Genomic DNA, 20,830 nt, shown 5'->3' with positions numbered 1-20,830 from the left:
TAAGAAATCAAAGAATTCTGTTGCTATCAGGGAGTGTGGTAATAACACATGCTTTAAGGTAGAATTGGTGGCAGCTGAAATTCCTTGCACTTCGTGATTTTCAACCTTTAGTAAATTACTACAGCTCTATTCAGCTCCACCTGGTCAGCTCAGACGCTAGAGAGGCCAGTTCTCTTTTGAGACATCCTTTCGAGTCACCTTATTTCTAGATTAGGATTAAACTTTCTCTCTTCCCTCCTCTCTCTCTCTCCTGTATGCACAAACATACATATACACACAACCTTTTTCTTCTTCACTTCCCCAGGGGTGATTATTCTGGAGCCAGTGGCAGATGCTACAGGAGGGAAGAGGCTTCTTTCAGCAGGAAGCACCTGTAACAAGTGGCTGCTTCTGGCCTTGTGGAGTTTCACGTTCCTTTGTTTATCTTTAAAAACAGGATGAGAATGAGAATATATTAATTGCAGGTAGGGGGATGAACAGTTGAGTTTTGACTTTTATCACGTCGTAGTTAATGGGGAGAAAGGCAGGCAGTGTGCTGGGGCACTGGGACAGCCCTAGCTTTGGGGGAGGCAGGTTCAGAGAGCCCCAGTCTCCTGATCTGGGTTTTTACACAATAGCCTTATGGGGTAATTATTATCCCCATTCTACAGATGAGAAAACTGAGCATCAGCAATATTGGTTAATATGTCCAAGATCACAACTGTAAGTGGGGGTAACTTGAGCCCAGACAGTATGATTTCCGAATGCATGCAGCTAAGCACTAGGCAAAGAGGAGCCTGCCAGAGTCTCATTCCCACGTCCAGCTAGATTCTGGCTTTTATTTTGTAAGGTGAGTGGCGCAAGGAAGTGATGTTTGGCATGCCTCAGTGTCCTTAAATGAACTCTGCATGACTGGCTTTACCCAGATCAATGAGCAAGACATTTGAGTTCTTACCGCTGAGATCTGCCTTCCTATTAGGGAAGGCGCCTCCACAGAATGTAATGTGGGATTTGTCACTTGGGAGCCAAGAGTGATCGATGCGGCCATGCCCAAAGGCCTTCCTGGAGGTTTGCTGTGTCTTTTCATTGTAGCTCTCCTTTGAAGCATATAAACAAAGGTGATTCTCTATTGACGTGTCCTAGGGAACGACAGATACACATTCCTGTAAACAGGCTGTCATAAAGGGGCAGAGCAGGTTTCTTTAACAGCCCTTGTGGCTAGGCTTATGGTTTCAAGGATGAAATTTCTTTTGCAGGTTGGGAAGAAAAATAAGGTTATAACAGCAAGCTCTTTAATGCTGTTTATTACAATAAAACATTTTATTGTTGATGATGGAAAGAATGATACTTAGCCATGCCTGACATATAGTGCGATCTTGTGAAAAAAAATCACAAGATTTTGATTAAAAATCAAAATGAAGTGCTAGTATTGGTGTTTTTATCCATTACGAAATGTTTCTCAGGCTGAACGCAGTGGCTCACACCTGTAATCCTAGCACTTTGGGAGGCCGAGGCAGGAGGATTGCTTGAGCTCAGGAGTTTGAGACCAGCCTGGGCAACATAGTGAGACCCAATCTCTACAAAAAAATTTTAAAAATTAGCCAGGCATGGTGGCACACACCTGTAGTCCCAGCTACTCAGGGGGCTGAGGCAGGAGGATTGCTTGAGCCCAGGAGGTCAAGCCTGCAGTGAACTGTGGTAGCACCTCTGCACTCCAGCCTGGGCAAGAGAGCAAGATCGTGTCCCTCCCCCACCACCCCCCAAAAAGAAATGTTTCTCCCCTCTGCCCTTCCACTCTGTGGCTCTTCTCCCCCTTTCCTCTTCTCCTTGGCAGATGACCTTCTTGTTAGTCAAATGAGTTTATTCAGGATGGGAGCAGATGTTGTCTATGTTGCTCTGAACAATTGTTATCCTGCGCGCGCGCGCGCGTGCACACACACACACACACACACACACACACACGGCCTTAGAGTTTAGAAAGTGTTTCTACATTGTAACTCATTTAATTCTCACAGTAACCTTGTTAGACATATGATAATAGCTCCATTTTACAGAAGAGGTGAATTCAGGCTCAAAGTTAGTTACGATTCTTGGACAGGCTCATCACAACTATCAAAAAGCAGGACCCAAAACAAGGCTTTTCTGAGTCTAAGGCAATAGCTATTTTTCAAACAAGATTAACAGCTGCCAAGATGAGCAAAGAGTCAGGGGAGAATCTGTGGTTACATAAGTTTGGAAAACCCAGAGTTTAACAAAGTTAAGCTGGTGACTATGTTATAGAACTTCTCCAAGCTCTCTGTATCTAACTACACATGTGACTTTCCAGGAGGAGAAGGCGTGCAGCACTTCCCCAGTGTATTTGCCTATGAAACCCTTATTTATTTATTTTTTAGAGGCAGGGTTTCACTCTGTTGCCCAGGCTGGAGTGCAGTGGTGCGATCTTGGCTTACTACAACCTCCTCCTCCCAGGTTCAAGCGATTCTCCTGCCTCAGCCTTCTGAGTAGCTGGGATTACAGGTGCCCACCATCATGCCCAGCTAATTTTTGTATTTTTAGTAGAGACGGGGTTTCACCATGTTGGCCAGGCTGGTCTCGAACTCCTGGCCTCAGGTGATCCACCTGCCTTGGTCTCCCAAAGTGTTGGGATTACAGGCGTGAGCCACCACACCCAGCCAAAACTTTGTTAAATGGAGCATCTTGCAATGCTACAGTTCTATAGGTGACACTTTGGGGAAATGGTGGTCAAAAAGGTCAAAGTACTCTTCCCTTCTCTGGAAGTCTCAAGAAATGGCAAAGGGAGAGAGAATCCTCTCTGTAGTCAAGAACAATGACAGAAGAGAGCCCATTAGAAGTGGTACCTCTGGCTAGGCTCGGTGGCTCATGCCTGTAATCCTAGCACTTTGGGAGGCTGAAGCCAGCAGATTGCCCGAGCTCAGGGGTTTGAGACCAGCCTGGGTAACATTGTGAAACCCCATCTCCACTAAAATACAAAAAATTAGCCAGGCCTGGAGGTGCTTACCTGTAGTCCCAGCTATTCAGGAGGCTGAGGCAGGAGAAATGCTTGAACCCAGGAGGCGGAGGTTGCAGTGAGCCAAAATTCTGCCATTGCACTCTAGCCTGGGTGACAGAGTGAGACTCCGTCTCGGGGAAAAAAAAAAAAAAAAGAAATGGTACCTCTGCCTGCGTTTCATCTTCCTGCCAGGGCTGCTTCCTGCGTGGTGGCAAGCGAGTCCCCTGACTGCCATGGTTCTTGGCTAGAGGGCCCTGGTCCACGTGTCCAGCAGCTCCAGCTTCCCCTTCATCCAGGCCCTGTTGACCTGCAATGGTGAACAATGGGTCAGCTTGTCACCCTGGAAATGGACGTGGTGTTCTTGCTGCCTCCAAACTGCCTCCCTTCTTGCTTCTCTGAGTAAAAGTGCTCAAGGCCCTCCCTTGCTCCCCCTCCTCCCTTATTTTGTATTTCTGATAGTGCCTCCTCGGAAGTGGCAGCCAGGTCTGTGGAAACAGAGCTGCACTGGCAGTCAGGAGGCTCAGGGTTGAGTCTTCACTTCTTGGACACAGTTTCCCAATCTGTAAAATGGGGATACAGATTTCTTGCCCTCACTTCCTTGTAGAGTTATTTGGAGCTCAAATAAGATAATGAATGTGACAGCCCCTTGTAAACTGTGAGGGATTAGTGGATGACAGTGCTGTGATTATGGTGGCGTGACCTGCAGCCTGCTCTGTTGTCATGGAGGTGCTCAGCCTGAAGCAAGCTCTTGGGATTCCCGGGCTATCTCCTGGCTCTTTACTTGTGGAAAAGCCTCTGCCGAATGCACTGAGGTAAGACTGCTGTTTAGCTCTCTGAACTTATCCTGTCTGCAACCCTCAGGAAGGATCTGAGTCAACAGATGACTCCAACATAGTTAACAAGTCTTTCATCAATGGTTTAAGGGGTCCTGCAGCTGTTTTCATCACTTTCTCAAGGTAGATTTATTGCTGAAGCAGTCTGGCAAAGCTTCCTTGTTTGGAGCCAAGCTTTAGCAATACCTTTATTCCCAGCATGCAGCTCCATGGAACAATTTGGGGTTGTCTTTCAACTAGGGGCTCTGGAAGGCTTCGGGCCTGTGTGTGATGGATCACAAGACTTCTGCGAGCTGCTTCTCCTCCTGCCTCCAGCCAGCCTCACTTTCCCTCTCTGCTCCCGTTCATTATTTCCATCCTTGGTGTCACTGGGCCAAGAGTCAATTGCCCACAGGTGGGGCTACTCCCTCCCTCCAGCTCTCCTTCCTTTGCCCACTGGCTCCTGAAGGCCATGCTAGATGTGAACTGAGGCTGAGTGTTGGTGGAAGAAATACAGGCTCAGGCTCAGGTTCAGGTTCAGAGGGTCTGCTCTGGTTTTAGTGGCCCAGGGAAATCTGATGGGCTGGGGACTCATTAATATGAGGTGACCCAGGGCTACATTAGGCCTGCTCCTAAGAGGACCTCAACTCCATACAGAGTGCAGCACTAAAGACCTTTGGGGATATTCTGGAATGATCCCTTGTAGAATGATTCCTTGGGGTCAAACCAGACACTAAACTAGGTCCATCTTTTCTGGTCAGATTCACCTGGAACCAAATGCATTTCTGAGGGTGGAGGAAGTGAAACTTACTAAATAGTCTCTTTTTTTTTGGGTGGGGGGTGCGGGGGACGTAGTCTCACTCTGTTGCCCAGGCTGGAGTGCAGTGGCATGATCTTGGCTCACTGCAACCTCCACCTCCCAGGTTCAAGCGATTCTCCTGCCTCAGCCTCCCGAGTAGCTGGGATTATAGGCATGCACCACCATGCCCAGCTAATTTTTGTATCTTTAGTAGAGACGGGGTTTCACCATGTTGGCCAGACTGGTCTCTAACTCCTGACCTCAAGTGATCCACCCGCCTCAACCTACCAAAGTGTTGGGATTACAGTCATGAGCCATTGTGCCCAGTCTGAACAGTCTTACACATTGGGTATCTAAGTTGGGGTGGGCGGCATTGTGAGTAGGGGGATACAGAGACAATTTTCCCTTTGGTAATATCCCAGGTGAGTTTGAATATGTGACTCAATCAATGCGAGGGGAAACAGAATTTTTTTTCTTAGTAAACATCATCATCTGATTCATTTATTTGTGCTTAATAGAAACAGGTTTGCAAGCAAAGTATTGGAAGCTTTAGTTGTTGAAAGGAGACCACAAAACTTAGTCTCTCTATATCTCAGGCATGGATTCAGATAATCCAGATAATGTGCATTGGAGTAGCTCTGTCCTCTCCTGTTATTCTTCACAAACAACCCAGGGAGGAAGGAATGCAGACCCCAGTATTTGCATTTTACATATGCACAAACTGAAGATGCAGGGAGCATAAGTGACTTAGCCAGCATCACATTATTGGAGACCTGGGATTTGCAGCTGGGACTTTTGCTACTTCTTCAGATAAAGTGTTGGGCAAAGAGAGGGAAACCAGTGGAAGATGAGGTTCAAACAAATGAAAACATCAGTCAGGGTTCAAGTTACAGCCACTGAACTATTTTTGCTTCTTTTAAAATAGATTTTTTTTTGGCCCCTATGATCATGGGCAATTGGGCATTCCAGTTAGTAATTATGCTTAAAACACAAGCTAAGGAGGTATAATGAACATTTATTGAGCACATAGTATGTGCCAGCTTCTATTAGTATATTATTTAATTCCCACATGCAACACTGTGAGATAAAGATGGGTATGGTCATCTCCATTTTATAAATGAGAAAACCAAGGCCCAGAGTGGCTATATGGCTTGGAATCGGTGCTAATGGCCACATGTTTAATCACTATTTGATACAGCCTCTTTGTTTTCTGCCTGATTGTGACAGCTCCTTGGTATATGGCATCAATTAGGAAAGTCACTTTATCCCTCAGGTGTGCACTGTTAATCCAGCCATAAAATGAAAGCCCTGAGGCCGAGAGCGGTGACTCATGCCTGTAATCACAGCACTTTGGGAGGCCAAGGTGGGAGGATCACTTGAGAACAGGAGTTTGAAACCAGCCTGGGCAACATGATGAAACCCCATCTCTACAAAAAATACAAAAATTAGCTGGGAGTGGTGGTGTGCTCCTACAGTTCCAGCTACTTAGGAGGCTAAGTGGGAGGATTGCTTGAGCCCAGGAATTCAAGGCTTCAGTGAGCCATAATCACATGGCTGCACTTCAGCTTGGGTGACAGAGCCAGAGCAAGACCTTGTCTCTAAAAAAAATAAAAAATAAAATAAAAGAAAATAAAAAGAAAAGAAAGAAAAAGAAAAAAAAGACTCAAGTGAGATGTGTGGTTGGTTGAAATGTTTAATGGCCCCAGGCTCTGAGAACCTGCCATGTTCACTTCTCCATTCATTTGATAAACCAGATTCTCTACTTATCCTGACCGGATCATTTCCCCAAAGATGGGGGTTGGTCAGGCACTGCCACTGTTTCTGGAAAATTTCATTATACATATTTTAGAGACAGGGTCTCACTTTGTCATCCAGGCTGCAGTGCAGTGGTGCCATCATAGCTCATTACAGCCTTGAACTCCTGGGCTCAAGTGATCCTTCTGCCTCTGCCTCCCAAGTAGCTGGGACTACAGGCATGTGCCACCACGCCCAGCTAAAATTTTAAATTTTTTGTAGAGACAGGGTCTCACTATGTTGCCCAGGCTGGTCTCAAGCTCCTAGCCTCAAGTAATCCTCCCTCCTTGGCCTCCCAAAATGTTGAGATTACAGAATGAGCCACTGAGCCTGGCCAAAAATCTTATGTTGGGCTCTTGCTCTTTTATTTTCTCAAGAACCCTGCTACCAGCCAAGGCTCTCGTCTTTGCCTATTACTGCTACCCAGTTGTCTTTTCCCATCTCCCTTACCAAAGGTGACTTCTGGCTCTTTTAATGCTTCAAGTTCCATAGAATAATATTGGGATTGACAGTGTCAATCCCCATAATACTAAACAGTTTACAGACGGCTTGCAATAATTTTCTGTATAGCTACTATGTAGATCTTACTGTGCCCATTACAGAGATGAGCAAACAGAAGCTCAAAGAGGTTAAATGACTTACTTAAGATCTTACACTAGTAAATGAGAGAACAGCCATTTCGATACACATTTCTGGCTCTAAATCCTATATATATATTTCACATCATATTGCCACAAAAATCACAGGATTCAGGAATATAAGAGTGGAACAGATCTAAGAAATCATCTAAAATCTAAAGTCTAGACCTACACTGCCAAACACAGTAGCCACCAGCTGCATGTGGTTATTTAGATATAAATTAATTAATATAAAATAAAAAGCTCAGTTTCACTGTTGTACTGCTACATTTCAAATGCTCAATAGCCACATGTGGCTAATGGCCACTTTATTGGACAGCCCATATGGGACATTCCATCACTGTGAAAAGCACTATTGGACAGTGCTGGTCTGCACTAACCCCTCATTTTACAGATTGAGGACTATGCAACCCAGAATCTCAAGACCTTGTTTTGGGAAATGCCATTTTAAGGTGTTAACAATTCAAATATCTGAGAACTGGTCATAAAATCAACATGTAAATCAACACGTACGTTGTTCAAAAGATTTTCCTTGTTGAATCCAAAATGAAGGGAAGACAGGCAGGAGATGGTATTTTGGGGGTACACCTGAAAGATCTTGTTGTGGCCTGAGCTTCTTTGGTACATTAAGTTGACTGTCCTGGAGTAGCACAGAATCCTTGATGTATCCTGAAGAGTAGATCAGGAGATATTGATAGAAATAGTGGTAGCCAACTTCAAGTTCTTGGTGGTAACTACAAGGTTCCTCACTTACACTAGTCTTGGCTTTGGACATTGCCCATTAGGGAAGACAATTAGAAGATGAGGGAGATTAAAAAGTCAGATAGAACCCACAGAGGCCTTGTCTATCTAGTGTCTTGGGTGCTTCTGGTTCTGTGCTACATGTGTACTTCCTCCACCCCATCATTCCCAAGAACTGGGTCTCCCTGGTGGAAGGAGCATGGCTGCTGCTTTGGAGCAAAAAGCTCCTCCTGCCTCAGGAGGAGATCCAGTGGTAGTGGATGTATCCTATTTGCTTCTGTAGGCCCCATGATCAGCAGCCTCCTCAATCCAGTCATTCTATAAGTATTTATTGAGGACTTCCCAATGGGCCCACCCCTCGGCTAGCCAGTGAAGTAGATACAGTGGAACCAGACTTGGGCCCTTTTAAAAGGCACTCAGTAGTCTATTGGAGAGACAAAGCTCTCTTGTGTTCTGTATGGCTCTGAGTGTCAGTGTAATATAAGTTCAGAAAACAAGGAGCTCAATATTGACTGGAGCTTTCAGCAAAGACTTTGTAGAAGGTGTGAGCTTGAAGGGTGGGGAGGATTAATCATAGGGGTGTAAAGAAATCCAAGAGAATATGTACATTAGTATCATAAAGTGGGGAGCTCTGAGATGTGCAGGAAGAGGGTGGTAGGGGCCATTGGACTGATGGGCTTACACCAGATTCTTGCCATTGTGCCTCCAGCTTGAGGTCCTCAACTTCAAGAGGGGCTTTGGCAAGGAATTATGGCAAGGAGCTCAAGAATGCATGTGTGTGTGTATCTTTCCTTAAACCACACATTTTAGCCATAGACTCCAATGGAGGACTCGACCTTTTTTGAGGTCAAGAGGGGCCTTCATTCTGGGGAATGTTGGACCTAGGCTATAGGAGAATGGCCTGCTCTGCCCTCTGCCCCACTCAATGAGAAACACTTCTTTGGTTAAGGGGCTCTTTCTCAAAAGTTTCAAATAAATGGAACTGCCTATAACTGTGGAACTGCCCTGAGAGTAAAACCAATGACTGGAGGAGCCCACAACTTTCATTTTGCTTCAAGTCACCACTTATTGGGGGAGTGAATTGCTTTCTCTTCTTCCTCAGGGTAAACCTATAAAGCAGGAAGAAAGTCAGTCTTTCTCTAGTCCTGGCTGTTTGTTGTTGCTGAAGAAATGGCAAACAGCCGAGTGGGTACTGGCACATTCTCTGCTCACTCTTCTCATCCCAAATAGGCTTGCCAAATAAAATACAGGATGTCCAGTTAAGTTTGAATTTTGGATAAACAATGAATTTTTTTTAGTAGAAGTACATCCCGAAGATTGAAGATTGCAAGCGTAACTGTTTATGCGTGTTGCGGGGGTGGGTATGCATGTGCTAAATCTGGCAACTCTAATCCCCAACCACTTCCCATTTTTGTTTTCAAGCATCTACAGAGTGCATTTAGGGTCTGTTCATCAGAAGGGTGTCCATCGCACTCCTAATGGATTGCGCTGGAGAGCCGCCATTTTTAAGAGGAAGAGTCGTAACATTTCACTTCCGGGAGGACCTGGGATCACCTCAGATGGGGTACTAAGGAATGTTGGGAAGAATGTGGAACTGTGGAGGTGCAGGGTGGATCTGACTTCTGGTCCCAGCTCTGCTTTTGACTGAATGATCTTGGACAAATTACTTTGCCTCTCTGGGCTTCTTCTTCCTTATCTTGTAAAAGATGGGTGTTGAACTGGAGGGTCTCTGAGTGGAGAAGATTGGGAAGAAAGTTCTGGCCTGGATGTGGCATGTGAGGCTGCTGAGGGCAAGGGATGGGAGTGAAGGCAGGACTTCAGGCCGTTCTTCCCTCTGCAAATGCGTCAGAGGACAAAGGACGGGAGCCGTGAAAGGGGCTTGTGGGCTACCAAGCGTGGGGACTTTGCTTTAACACAGAATTGGGCTTGAAATCCTGGTGTTTCAGGTCTTGATGGAAAACACACTGTCACACCAGAATGGGAGGTGGGGCAGTTTGGGGTGTGCCCCCCTCCCATTTCCCCACTGACCTGCGCACCAGAGCCTATACATGGCGTCTGGGGGCCAAGTCCGCAGGAGGCCTCGGAGGTATCTCTTGGCTGAATGCCCTGGCTGGATCTGCCGTTGGGCCTGGCTCTCCAGCTGGCTTCGGAAGTGGAGGTATGGTTGCCAGGCTCTGTCCTGCTCTCCCTGTGGGGACACCAGTCAGGAAACAGCACAGCTGCTGACCCCTGAGCCACCCAGTGATACAGGCTGGTTAGCACAATCTTCATCAGTAACCCAGGAAACTCCCAGAAGGTGCCAGAAGGCACCAAAAACAGATGCCTCGGCTAATAGACATGAACCAAGAGCCCTCAGAGCAAAGCTCTGAAAGGCCCCTGCAGGTTTGCAGTTGGAAGCAGAAGGAGAAATGACATATACCAGATCCCATCTTGAGATAGAGTATTAGGAAAGGGTAAAAACTTCAGAAGAAAACACATTACCTAGTTCAGCCTGTGAAAATCATTTTAGTATCTTCAAAAATGGCTCTGTACTGTAATGGGAAAGCCAGCTCACAAATCTGCATTGGCATTCAATGTTTGTAATGTGAATAATGGGACAGACAAATCATGTCCATGTTCATGGGGAGCCTGGCATTTTGAAAATATCTGGCTCTGATGCATTTCATTTAAGCTGGGGAGAATTTTCTGGGAACCTATCTGCCAAAGTCAGTGCCACTGTGCAAGACATCATAGGGAATAAATATGAATAATAACATCTTACAATTGACTAGGAATTTACATTATACAAAGAACTTTCACCTCATCTGTAATCCTATAAGGTGGACTGAGTTACTACAACCACTTAAGTGATGTAGAAACTCTCAGAGGATGATTGCTTAGGCAAAAGAATAGCAAATGTGTGATATTTGTGTTGACATCTCTCACCCTTCCCAGTGTCCATGGCAGACATCCCTAATCAATCACAGGATTCTTGACTGCTGAACTGAAGGTGATCTCAGAATCCATTTTCTCCTTAAGAACATTTTTGAAACTGAGGCATAAATTATATAACATGCACAGAATATTTAGATGTTCATTTGATAAATATTGACAATTGTATATACCTTTGTAACCACCACAGAAAACAAAATCCAGAACATTTTCATCCACCCAGGAAGTCCCTCATGCCGCTTTTTAGTCAGTATCCTCCTACCCACCAGGTAATTGCTATTCTGATTTCTAACACCGTGGACTGTTTTGTTCTATTCTTGAACTTCATATGAATGGAAACATACAGCATATATTCTTGGATGCTCCATGAAAGTGATCCACACAGTGTTCCAGTGAGAACTGGCATGAGAAATGAAACCCACTTAGTCCCCTTTGGCTAAGGAAGTCTCCCAAGGCAACAATATAGCCTGGAAGGATAGAGAGCAACTGTGTGGAGCCAGTTAGAAGTGGAGCTGGGCTTGAATCTAGGGCTTCAAAATTCACATCAGTGCAAAGCTTCTTGTTCTTCAGTAACTGACCATCTCATCAAAGGACCAGATCAGGAGTTAGCACCATGAACCAGCTTGATGTCAAAACAATAAATAAAGATGTTTCGAAGCAGGTGCCTCAGTGAGTTTCCCAGACTGTAAGAACTATATTCTAGAGCGACCAAAATTTTCATACAGGTTAGGATGCAGTAAATCCTGACTCAACAGGCTTGAACAATGAGAAAGAAAGTTTGTTATCTCATGTAACAAAAAGACCAAAGGCTAGAGAATACCAGGGTTGGTTAATTCAGTGGCTCAATAGCTCTGGTATCCTGAAACTCATTTTGTAGGCACCAAATCTCTTTCTACCCTTCAGAACAGTCTTTCACTTCAGTCTTATGGGCCTGCAGAGGCTGAACAATGGACATAGGGAAACATCAAGTGGGTCCAAAAAGCACAAGCCAAAGAGTGGGAAGGAGACAGCCTGTGAGAAAGCTTGGGAAAGAGCCTTGGATTTACAGCCAGAGCCCCTGGGCTCAAGGCCTGCTCTGCCTCATGGGAACTTTGTGATCTTGCGTGAGCTCTGGAACCTTCTGAACCTGTCTCTAAAATGGAGCTAATATAGTGGTAGAGGGAATGGAGAGTGCATGGGTTCTGGAATCAACCCGAGAGTCAGGTTTCACAGTGCCTGGCACATACTAGGGGCTCGATATTGTGGGGAAATGAATAAATGAACAAATAGTTCCAATCTCAGCCCCACCACTTCTCAATCGTCTAATCATTATATAATTTAGCCCACAATACTGACATAATACCTCGTTTTTGGTGTAAATGAAATAATGTAAGTGAAAGGGTGTTCCACTGAGCCAGCTTATGGTAAGGTGAGAGGGTGCACGCTCTCACTCCCTGCCCACCCTGCACTTGTGAAAGCACTTTCTAATCTCTCAGTACTCCTAAAGGGAGCTGAGGAGAACACAGTGGAGACTGAGCAGAGGCTTTGCTTGAAGATGGAATTGATCTTGAGATCTTGCCCCATCCTTGGGCATGTTAATTTCTTCTCTGAATAATTTTACTCAGTGTCCTCAGTTTAAGGATTATATGAGCTGAGGTATGTAAAATACTTAATGCACATAGTAGGTGGTGAACAAATATTAGGTCTTTTCTCCTTTTTCTTGTCCAGGTGGTGGGAGACTATGCTAACTGCCCAACACTTATTCCCCCTCACTTCTTTCTGCTAAAAGAGTCCCAATTTTTTGTCAGCAGATCCCCTTTCCCAAATAGTCATCCCTCGTTATCTGTGGGGAATTGGTTCCAGGACCTCTGTGGATATTAAAATCTGTGTATGCTCAAGTCCCTTATATATTATAAAATGGTGGTAGTAATATTTGTACAGTATAGCCCATATGCATCCTCCCTATACTTTACATTGTTTCTAGCAACTTATAATACTGAATACAATGTAAATGCGGTATAAATAGTTGTTATACTTTTTTTTTTTTTTGGTTTGGATTGTTATTTTTTTTCCTGAATATTCTCCATCCCTGGTTGGTTGAATCCAGGAAAGTGAAGACATGGAGGGCCTTGCTTTCCCAGACTCCGTTGCATCTCAGAATGGCCAAGGGACCTAGCTCTGGTCAATGAAACTAAGGTGAAACTACTGGGAGCCTCTGGAAGGTCTTTGTTTCTTTAGAGAAGGAACAGCTGTGCAAGGATTGCTTGCTGGCCCCTTTCTTCTGCTTTGAACCCAGATGTGACCTCTGAAAGTATGGGACCATCTTGTGAACATGCACTAACAAGCCTAATAAGAAAAACCAACATTCAAAGGATGGTGGAAGGAAAAGATAGCGCTTGAGTCCTTAATGGCATTGGCAAGCAGCTGGGCAAGCATGAAACTCCTGCCCCTCCACTTTGTGTTACTTGAGATAATTAAATCTCTTTATTGCCTAAATCAGGGGTTAGCAGCCTTTTTTTTTTTTTTTTTTTTTTTTTGAGATGGTTTCGCTTTGTCAACCAGGCTGGAGTGCAGTGGCACTAACTTGGTTCACTACAATCTCTGCCTCCTGGGTTCAAACGATTCTCCTGCCTCAGCCTCCGGAGTAGTTGGGATTACAGGCATGTGCCACAATGCCTGGCTAATTTTTGTATTTTTTGTAGAGACAGGGTTTCACCATGTTGGCCAGGCTGGTCTTGAACTCCTGACTTTAAGTTATCCACCTGTATCAGCTTCCCAAAGTGCATGGGACTCCAGGCGTGAGTCACCATGCCCAGCCTGGAAGGTTTTTTATAAAGGGTCAGACAGTAAATATTTTAGGCTTTGCAGGCCATATGGTCTCTGTTGCCACCACTCAACCTGTCCTTGTAGTGCAAAAGCATCCATAGGCAATATGTAAACAAATGGTCATGGTTGTGTTCCAATAAAACTCTATTTACACAAACAAGTAGTGGGCAGGATTTGACCAGTGAGCAGTGTTTGCTGATTCCCCAACTTCAACCATTGGTAATCATGAACTATGTTGCTTGCAGCCAAAAGTATTTCTGATATGTGGATATAATATGGGAGCAACAGATTTAAAGCTGCTACGGATTGGAGGGATGGGAAACAAGCACTGGAAAAAAGGGGATGATCAAGATGGATTGATAACTAATAAAATCACATCAAGTGAGCCCAAAATGCACAAGCAGCAGAGTGGGAAGGAGACAGCTTGTGAGAAAGCCTGGGAAAGCGCTCTAGATTTAGGGCCAGAGTGCATGGGTTCAAGGTTCAAGATAAAAGAAAACATGGCTTACTATTCAATTGGCTTTACTCCTTGGGGACTTATGAATTAAACGAATGCTTAGAATTCAAACATACAGCATCACCTGCTCCTTGATGTCTGGAAAGTTTATGTGGCAGGTACTTCAAGTGCAAAAACAGCCTAGAAATTCAGTCTCATGTGGTCTTGAGGCTTTTCCCAGAGGACGTGAAAGAAAGAATTATAGAGAGGATGGTGGAAGCTAAATGACACTTTCACTCACTGCATTTTTTCACTCAGTCATATGATAAATATTTGTTGGGTACTTTTTATATTCCAGGCACTGTGTTGGGCCCTGAAATATGGAGCCTTTAGACGAGAGGCCTTTTCTGGGTGAATTGCAACCTCATTTCTTTTCTGTGAATCTTTGCTTTGACTGACTTTCCTCTGAATGCAGTAAGGACCAGCCTCTTCCAAGATGCTGTGGCCCCTGTGCGGATGGCAAGATGTGCTGTTTGAGTCTGGACAGGAACCCTTGCAGGTTCTCATTAGTGGGCATTTCTTTTTCTTTTCTTTCTTTCTTTTTTTTTTTTTTTTTTTGAGACAGAGTTTCGGTCTTTCACCCAGGCTGGAGTGCAGTGGTGTGATCTTGGCTCACTGCAACCTCTGCCTTCTGGTTTCAAGTGATTCTCCTGCCTCAGCCTCCCAAGTAGCTGGGATTACAGATACCCAACACTACATCTGGCTAATTTTTGTATTTTTAGTAGAGATGGGGTTTCACCATGTTGGCCAGGCTGGTCTCGAACTCCTGACCTCGTGATCCGCCTGCCTCGGCCTCCCAAAGTGCTGGGATTACAGGCGTGAGCCACTGCGCCTGGCCATTAGTGGGCATTTCTGAAGCACCAGCTTGGTTCTGAAGCTTTACTGAGAAGCTTGCACCATGGTGCAGGGAGTTGCCAAGAAGAGTTAGGGAATCCTAGACCTGGAATTTAGAGTATTTACATATATTTTTGCTTAGGATTTGGAAGCTGATCTTGGTGTATTCATTTCCTATTGCTGCTGTTAACAAATTACCATACATTTAGTGGTTTAAACAACATAAATGTATTATTCTCATACTGTTCTGGAGGTTAGAAGTTCAAAATGGGTCTCACTGGCTAAAATCAAGGTGCTGACAGGCCTGAGTTCCTTCTATAGGCTCTAGGGAAGAATCTGTTTCCCTGCCTTTTCCAGCTTCTAGAGGTCACCCCCACCTTCATTCCTTGGCTTGTGGCCCTTTCCTCCATCTTCAAAGCCAGCAACCTTAAGCTGAGTCCTTCTCAGGCTGCCCTCTCTCTGATCTTCCTTCTGATTCCTTCTTCTGCTTTTAAGGACTCTTGTGCTTACCTTGGGTCCACCTGGATCATCCAAGATAATATCCCCATTTCGAGGCCATCTATTGATGATAACCTTAATTCCATCGGCAACCTTGATTTCCCTTTGCCCTGTAACCTCTCAGGTCCCAGGGATTAGGACATAGATATCTTTGGCAGGACATCCTGTCTACCACATTCTCTTTAAGTTTTTTTCTAGTTTCCTGGTTTCTTTTAATAACTTCTCAAATTATGCCCATGAAGTTGGTTAATAATGTCCCATCTCACTGGATAAACTGAAGCACTGAGGGATGCCCAAGGCCTGCTTAGGGCTAACCGAGGATACCAGTCAGGGTGAAATCTACTTACTCACTTCCAACCTGTTGAAGAATATTTTCAGTGGAAAACAACAAAATATAAGAAAGCATGTATAGTATAATTACAACCTCATACAAGCATATCCTGTGTATAGTCATGATGGAAAGACTGGAAGAAAATAGATGAAAAAGCTAATAATGGGAGTATTAGGGTGCTGGGCATAAGATTACAAATAGTTCTTTCTTCTCTCTCTTTTTTTTAAAAAAATAAAATCAAGTTTTCAGTGATATAGATTATATTTCTAAATAGAAAACATGTTAAAAATTAACTAATTTTCTGGCACCCACCCTCTTCTCATGCATATTTCCTTAGTTCTTCCCTAAAGTTATCCTAGACCTAACCACCCACTCAAAAGTCACTCTAAAATATAAAAGGAGACAGAAGGGAGCCAGGGAGGGAGTTTCTGGAACAGGAAAATAAACATGACAGCAGGAGGCTGGCTATGGATGGTTTCAGACTGTTCAGGCCTGCCTCGGCTTTGCCAATCAATCCCAGCTTCGGGTTTCTTCTGCAATGAGTAATTAGTGTGCACGGGGTGGCCTATTATCCACATTCCACCATGAGTGCTTCCTTTAACGAGGGACTTGCTCTGGCCAGTTGCCTTCCTGATGCATATGAGGTCTCTGAATGCAGAGGCATGAAGGGGACTCCTGTGTAACTGTCCCTTCCCCCGCACTGGCTGTCTTGTCCACCTGCTCTAGTGCTGGCCACTGAAGGTTTTCAGAGGATAGAAGGAGACGGTAGGGCTTGTGCTCCTGCCCAGCAGATATGGGGTGGCAGGGAGCCAGAGTCCCCAGGAAGGCAACAAATCCCTAGGTAGCCAGCTGCCATCATACCGCAGACGGTGGCCCAGCGTTTGTGTGCAGGACTCAGCAGAAGCGTGAAGAGAGAAACCCCCAAATCCCAGAACTGGCAGGCACAGCCCTCCACAATTTGGCCCCACCCACTTCCCCAGGTATATTTCCAGCAGGGAGCCTGGCTAGTGACCCTGACTTCCCCTCCCCTGCACCTTCTCCCCTAGAGGCCTCTGCTCACCTAAGCCTGGAAGGTCTCACCCTACTTATCTTTACAAGACTCAGCTCAAATTCTACCTTCTCCAAGAAGCCACTCTAGATTTTTCCCAGTAAGAAGCAGTCACACTCTCTGCCTTCTTTATTAGGAAATCATAATCTCACTCTCTTATGGACAGCCTTGTATCAAAATGTCACTGGGGCACAAATCCGCCTCTTTCACCAGATTGTGCACTCCTGTTGGGTAGAGGTTACAGCCCCCCCGCCCCCCTGGCCATATCCTTGTAACCAATATGTCATTAAACAATTTGTTGAGCATCTGCTATGTGTCAGGCACTGTTTTAGGCCCAGGGCATTTCCTAACTACTCAGACGTTGGCTCGATTGAATGGAAAAACCCAATAATGTCTGCATTTTACTGCTGACCACCTGTGCTGTGAGCTGCCTGCTCCAGCCAGAAGTCCTTCTCTCAGGAGGGGCACAGCTGGCATCTCCTAGCCCTCAGTCTGTCTTGCCGGAGTCAGTGTTCTCTGGCAAAGGCCAAATCTTAGAACACGGTGACTGATCATTGTCGTTGCACCTGTGCATGTGTGACTGGAGCCAGCCTTGGGGCTGCCAGGTGAGTGCAACTGGAGTAGAGGTCGGGGCAGGGTGGGAGGGAGAGGAGAGAAGCCACTTGCAGCTGTGCCTGGAAAGCATCCTCCATCCCCAGCGTGACTTTGATCAGCCTCATGCAAACACTGCTGCTCTCAGCCAGCCCTTTCTCTGCAGGTTTAATTTTTGGGATTCTGTGCAAATGATAACTCTCTCTCCTATCTATCTTTGGTGAGCATATGTTCCTGGATACAAGGCCATAAAGAAGAAAGTCGTGAAGTGGTCTGAATGTTCTCATTAATGCAGTGTTGTAACAAGGCTTGATCCCTGACCAAACCATTCAGCATCAAAGATTTGACCAGCCATATGTCATAAATGTAAAGGTACAACTAGGATTGCTAGCAGCAAAAATTAGGCTTCAGGTCCTACGAGAGCTCAATCTGCCTGGATTTGTAATCCTGTCTTGATGACTCACTAGCTGTGTGACCTTAGGGAAATTATTTGATTCACCTGTGCCTCAGTTTCTTTATCTGTCAAATAAGGATGACAAAAGTACATACTTTACATGCAAAAAAAAAAAAAAAATGAAATTGGACTCTTACCGTACACCATTTACAAAAGTTAATTCAAAATGGAGCAAAAACCTAAACATAAGAACTAAAACTGTAAAACTCTTAGAACTAAGTTTTCCCCTAGAGTTTACAACCATAGGGGAAAAGCTTCATGGCATTGAGTTTGGCAATGAGTTTTTGAATATGATATCAAAAGAACAGGCAAAAAAGAAAAAAATAGATAAGTTGGACTTCATAAAAATTAAAAACTTCTTTTTTTTTTTTTTAAAGACAGACTCTCGCCCTGTCACCCACGCTGGAGTACAGTGGCACGATCTTGGCTCACTGCAAACTCTGCCTCCCGGGTTCAAGCAATTCTCCTGCCTTAGCCTCCCTACTTTTGTGCATCAAAGGACACTATCAACCGAGTGAAAAGGCAGGCAACCCATGGAGTGGGAGAAAATATTTGTAAATTTGTATCTGGTAAGAGATTAATATCCAGAATATCTCTCTTTGAGAGAGAGAGACAGAGACAGGGTCTCAGTCTGTCACTCAGGCTGGAGTGCAGTGGTGTGATCATGTCTCACTGTAGCCTCGATCTCTTGGGCTCAAGTGATCCTCCTGCCTCAGCCTCCCAGAGTGTTGGGATTACAGGCATGAACCAATTATTCAGAATATCTAAGAACTCCTACAATTCAATGACAAAAAACCAAACAACCCACTTAAAAAATGGGCAAAAGACTTGAATAGATATTTCTTTAGAAAAGATATACAAATGGTCAACACGCACATAAAAAGATGCTCAATGTCATTTATCACTAGGTAAATGCAAATCAAACCCACAATGAGATTCCACTTGACACCCACTAGAATGGCTATTATAAAATAAAAGAAATTTTTTTTCAGGTCAGACAGGTAATGTGTTGATGTTGTAACGAGGTTCAGAGGGTGGCACATTCACACATGCATGTGAACACCCAATCATCATGCTTATGAACTACAAAAGGATCTGGTTATTATCAAATAAAAGTGTTTAAGGCCAGGCACAGTGGCTCATGCCTGTAATCCCAGCACTTTGGTAGGCTGAGGCAGGCAGATCACCTGAGGTTGGGAGTTCGAGACCAGCCTGACCAACATGGAGAAACCCCATCTCTACTAAAAATACAAAATTAGCTGGGTGTGGTGGTGCATGCCTGTAATCCCAGCTACTAGGGAGGCTGAGGCAGGAGAATCACTTGAACCTGGGAGGCAGAGGTTGTGGTGAGCTGAGATCGCGCCATTGCACTCCAGTCTGGGCAACAAGAGCGAAACTCCGTCAGCAAAAAAAAAAAAAAAAAAAAGTGTTTAAAAAGAAAACAGAAAGTAACAAGTGTTGATGAGGATATGGAGAAACTGGAACTCTTGTGCGCTGCTGGTGGGAATGTAGAATGGTGTAACTAACTGCTGTGGAAAATCCTATGGTAGTTCCTCAAAGAATTAAAAATAGAATTACTATATAATCCAAACAATTCCACTTCTGGGTATATACACAAAATAATTGAAAACAAGGACATGAACAGATATTTGTACATCCATGTTTATAGGGCATTGTTCACAACAGCCAAAATGTGGAAGCAACTTAAGTGTCTGTTGATGGAAGAATGGAAAAACAAGATGTGGTGTATACATACAAGGGACTATTACTCAGCTTTGCAAAAGAAGGAAATTCGGATACATGCTACAACATGAATTCATTCTTCTAATGAGTGAAGACATTATGCTAAGTGAAACAAGTTAGCCGCAAAGGATACAACTGTATGCTTTCACTTATATGAAGTTCTCAGAATAGTCAAATTCACAGAGACAGCAGAAATATGGTTGCAGGGGCTGGTGGCAGAGGGAAATGGGGAGTTACTGTTTCATGGACATGGAGTTCAGTTTAGCAAAATGACAAAACTCCTGGAAATGGATGACGGTAATGATTGTACAACGATGTGAATATACTTACTGCCAGCAAACTGTACATCTAAAATGGTTAAAATGGTAAATTTCATGTTATATATATTTTGCTACAATAAAAAAGGCACCTACCTTATTAACCTGTTGTGAGGATTAAGTGAGTTAATAAGTGTAAAGCACTTAGAATGGTACTGGTATAATACTAACTTCTACATAAGTGTTAGCCTTCTTTTTTTTTTTTTTTTTTTTGAGACGGAGTTTCGCTCTTGTTGCCCAGTTTGGAGTGCAATGGCATGATCTTGGCTCACCACAGCCTTTGCCTCCTGGGTTCAAGCAATTCTCCTGCCTTAGCCTCCCGAGTAGCAGGGATTACAGGTATGCACCACCACGCCTGGCTAATTTTTTTGTATTTTTAGTAGAGACGGGGTTTCTCCATGTTGGTCAGGCCGGTCTTGAACTTCTGACCTCAGGTGATCTGCCCACCTCAGCCTTCCAAAGTGTTGGTATTACAGGCGTGTGCCATCGTGCCCGGCCCCAGTCATTGTTATAAATATTCTATTCGTTATACAAGGGAACAAATGAATGAAGTACATAAAACCTAGAGAAACAGGAGTGTATTGGATCATATATATAGCTTATTATAGAAATGCTACTTATCATCCAAATTAATTTTAATAAAAATCTGATTTGCTTTCCTAGAATTACAAAGGGTTAGCTTAATGGATGTGTTGAAAGACTCAGATCCACTTTTTAAACATACTGTTAAAGCTGGGGAGATGCTTCTTTTTCTCTGGGGAATGTGGAGTTTTCAAAATCAAGCCATCTAGGGGTTAAACGTGGGGCTTTGGAATCCGTTGTTGGTCTCCAATTCTAGCTTCACCACTTAGGTTTGTAATTTTGAGCAAATTAGTTAATGTCAAGCCCCAGGCTTCCTTCCTATAAAACGGAGGTAATGCTAGCACCTAGCTCTTAGGCTTGTGCAGATTGAATGAGGTTATACAGGTAAAATGCCCTGTGAACTGAATTTTAAAACACATTATCTTAA

General features: G+C 44.3%; 1 protein-coding gene, 1 long non-coding RNA gene and 1 other non-coding gene across 5 annotated transcripts in view; 1 reads left to right on the top strand and 2 right to left on the bottom strand.

Moving 5' to 3' along the window:
• Positions 1-13,176, top strand: part of KIAA2012-AS1 (KIAA2012 antisense RNA 1) — a 29,504-nt gene extending 16,328 nt beyond the window's left edge. Inside the window, exon 4 of the long non-coding RNA NR_135244.1 lies at positions 12,791-13,176. This is a non-coding gene — a long non-coding RNA (KIAA2012 antisense RNA 1). The remainder of the gene's footprint in view (positions 1-12,790) is intronic.
• KIAA2012 overlaps positions 1-20,830 on the bottom strand; it is a 131,934-nt gene that overhangs the window by 104,458 nt on the left and 6,646 nt on the right. For all 3 annotated transcript variants that reach the window (NM_001277372.4, NM_001367720.2, XM_017003112.3), the window contains exons 3-7: positions 9,802-9,961; positions 7,546-7,701; positions 3,154-3,296; positions 935-1,118; positions 282-424 (exon numbers count right to left, since the gene is read on the bottom strand). In NM_001277372.4, coding sequence (NP_001264301.2) covers positions 282-424; positions 935-1,118; positions 3,154-3,296; positions 7,546-7,701; positions 9,802-9,961 — 786 coding nt within the window. The remainder of the gene's footprint in view (positions 1-281; positions 425-934; positions 1,119-3,153; positions 3,297-7,545; positions 7,702-9,801; positions 9,962-20,830) is intronic.
• LOC124906152 (small nucleolar RNA U13) lies at positions 18,753-18,856 on the bottom strand. The gene has a single exon (XR_007088741.1). It is a non-coding gene; the product is annotated as a small nucleolar RNA U13 (small nucleolar RNA).

The sequence above is a fragment of the Homo sapiens genome, chromosome 2, assembly GCF_000001405.40.
Source record: "Homo sapiens chromosome 2, GRCh38.p14 Primary Assembly".
Taxonomy (NCBI): domain Eukaryota; kingdom Metazoa; phylum Chordata; class Mammalia; order Primates; family Hominidae; genus Homo; species Homo sapiens.
Note: the sequence above shows the minus strand (reverse complement) of the source record. Positions and strands in the feature narration are given on the sequence as shown.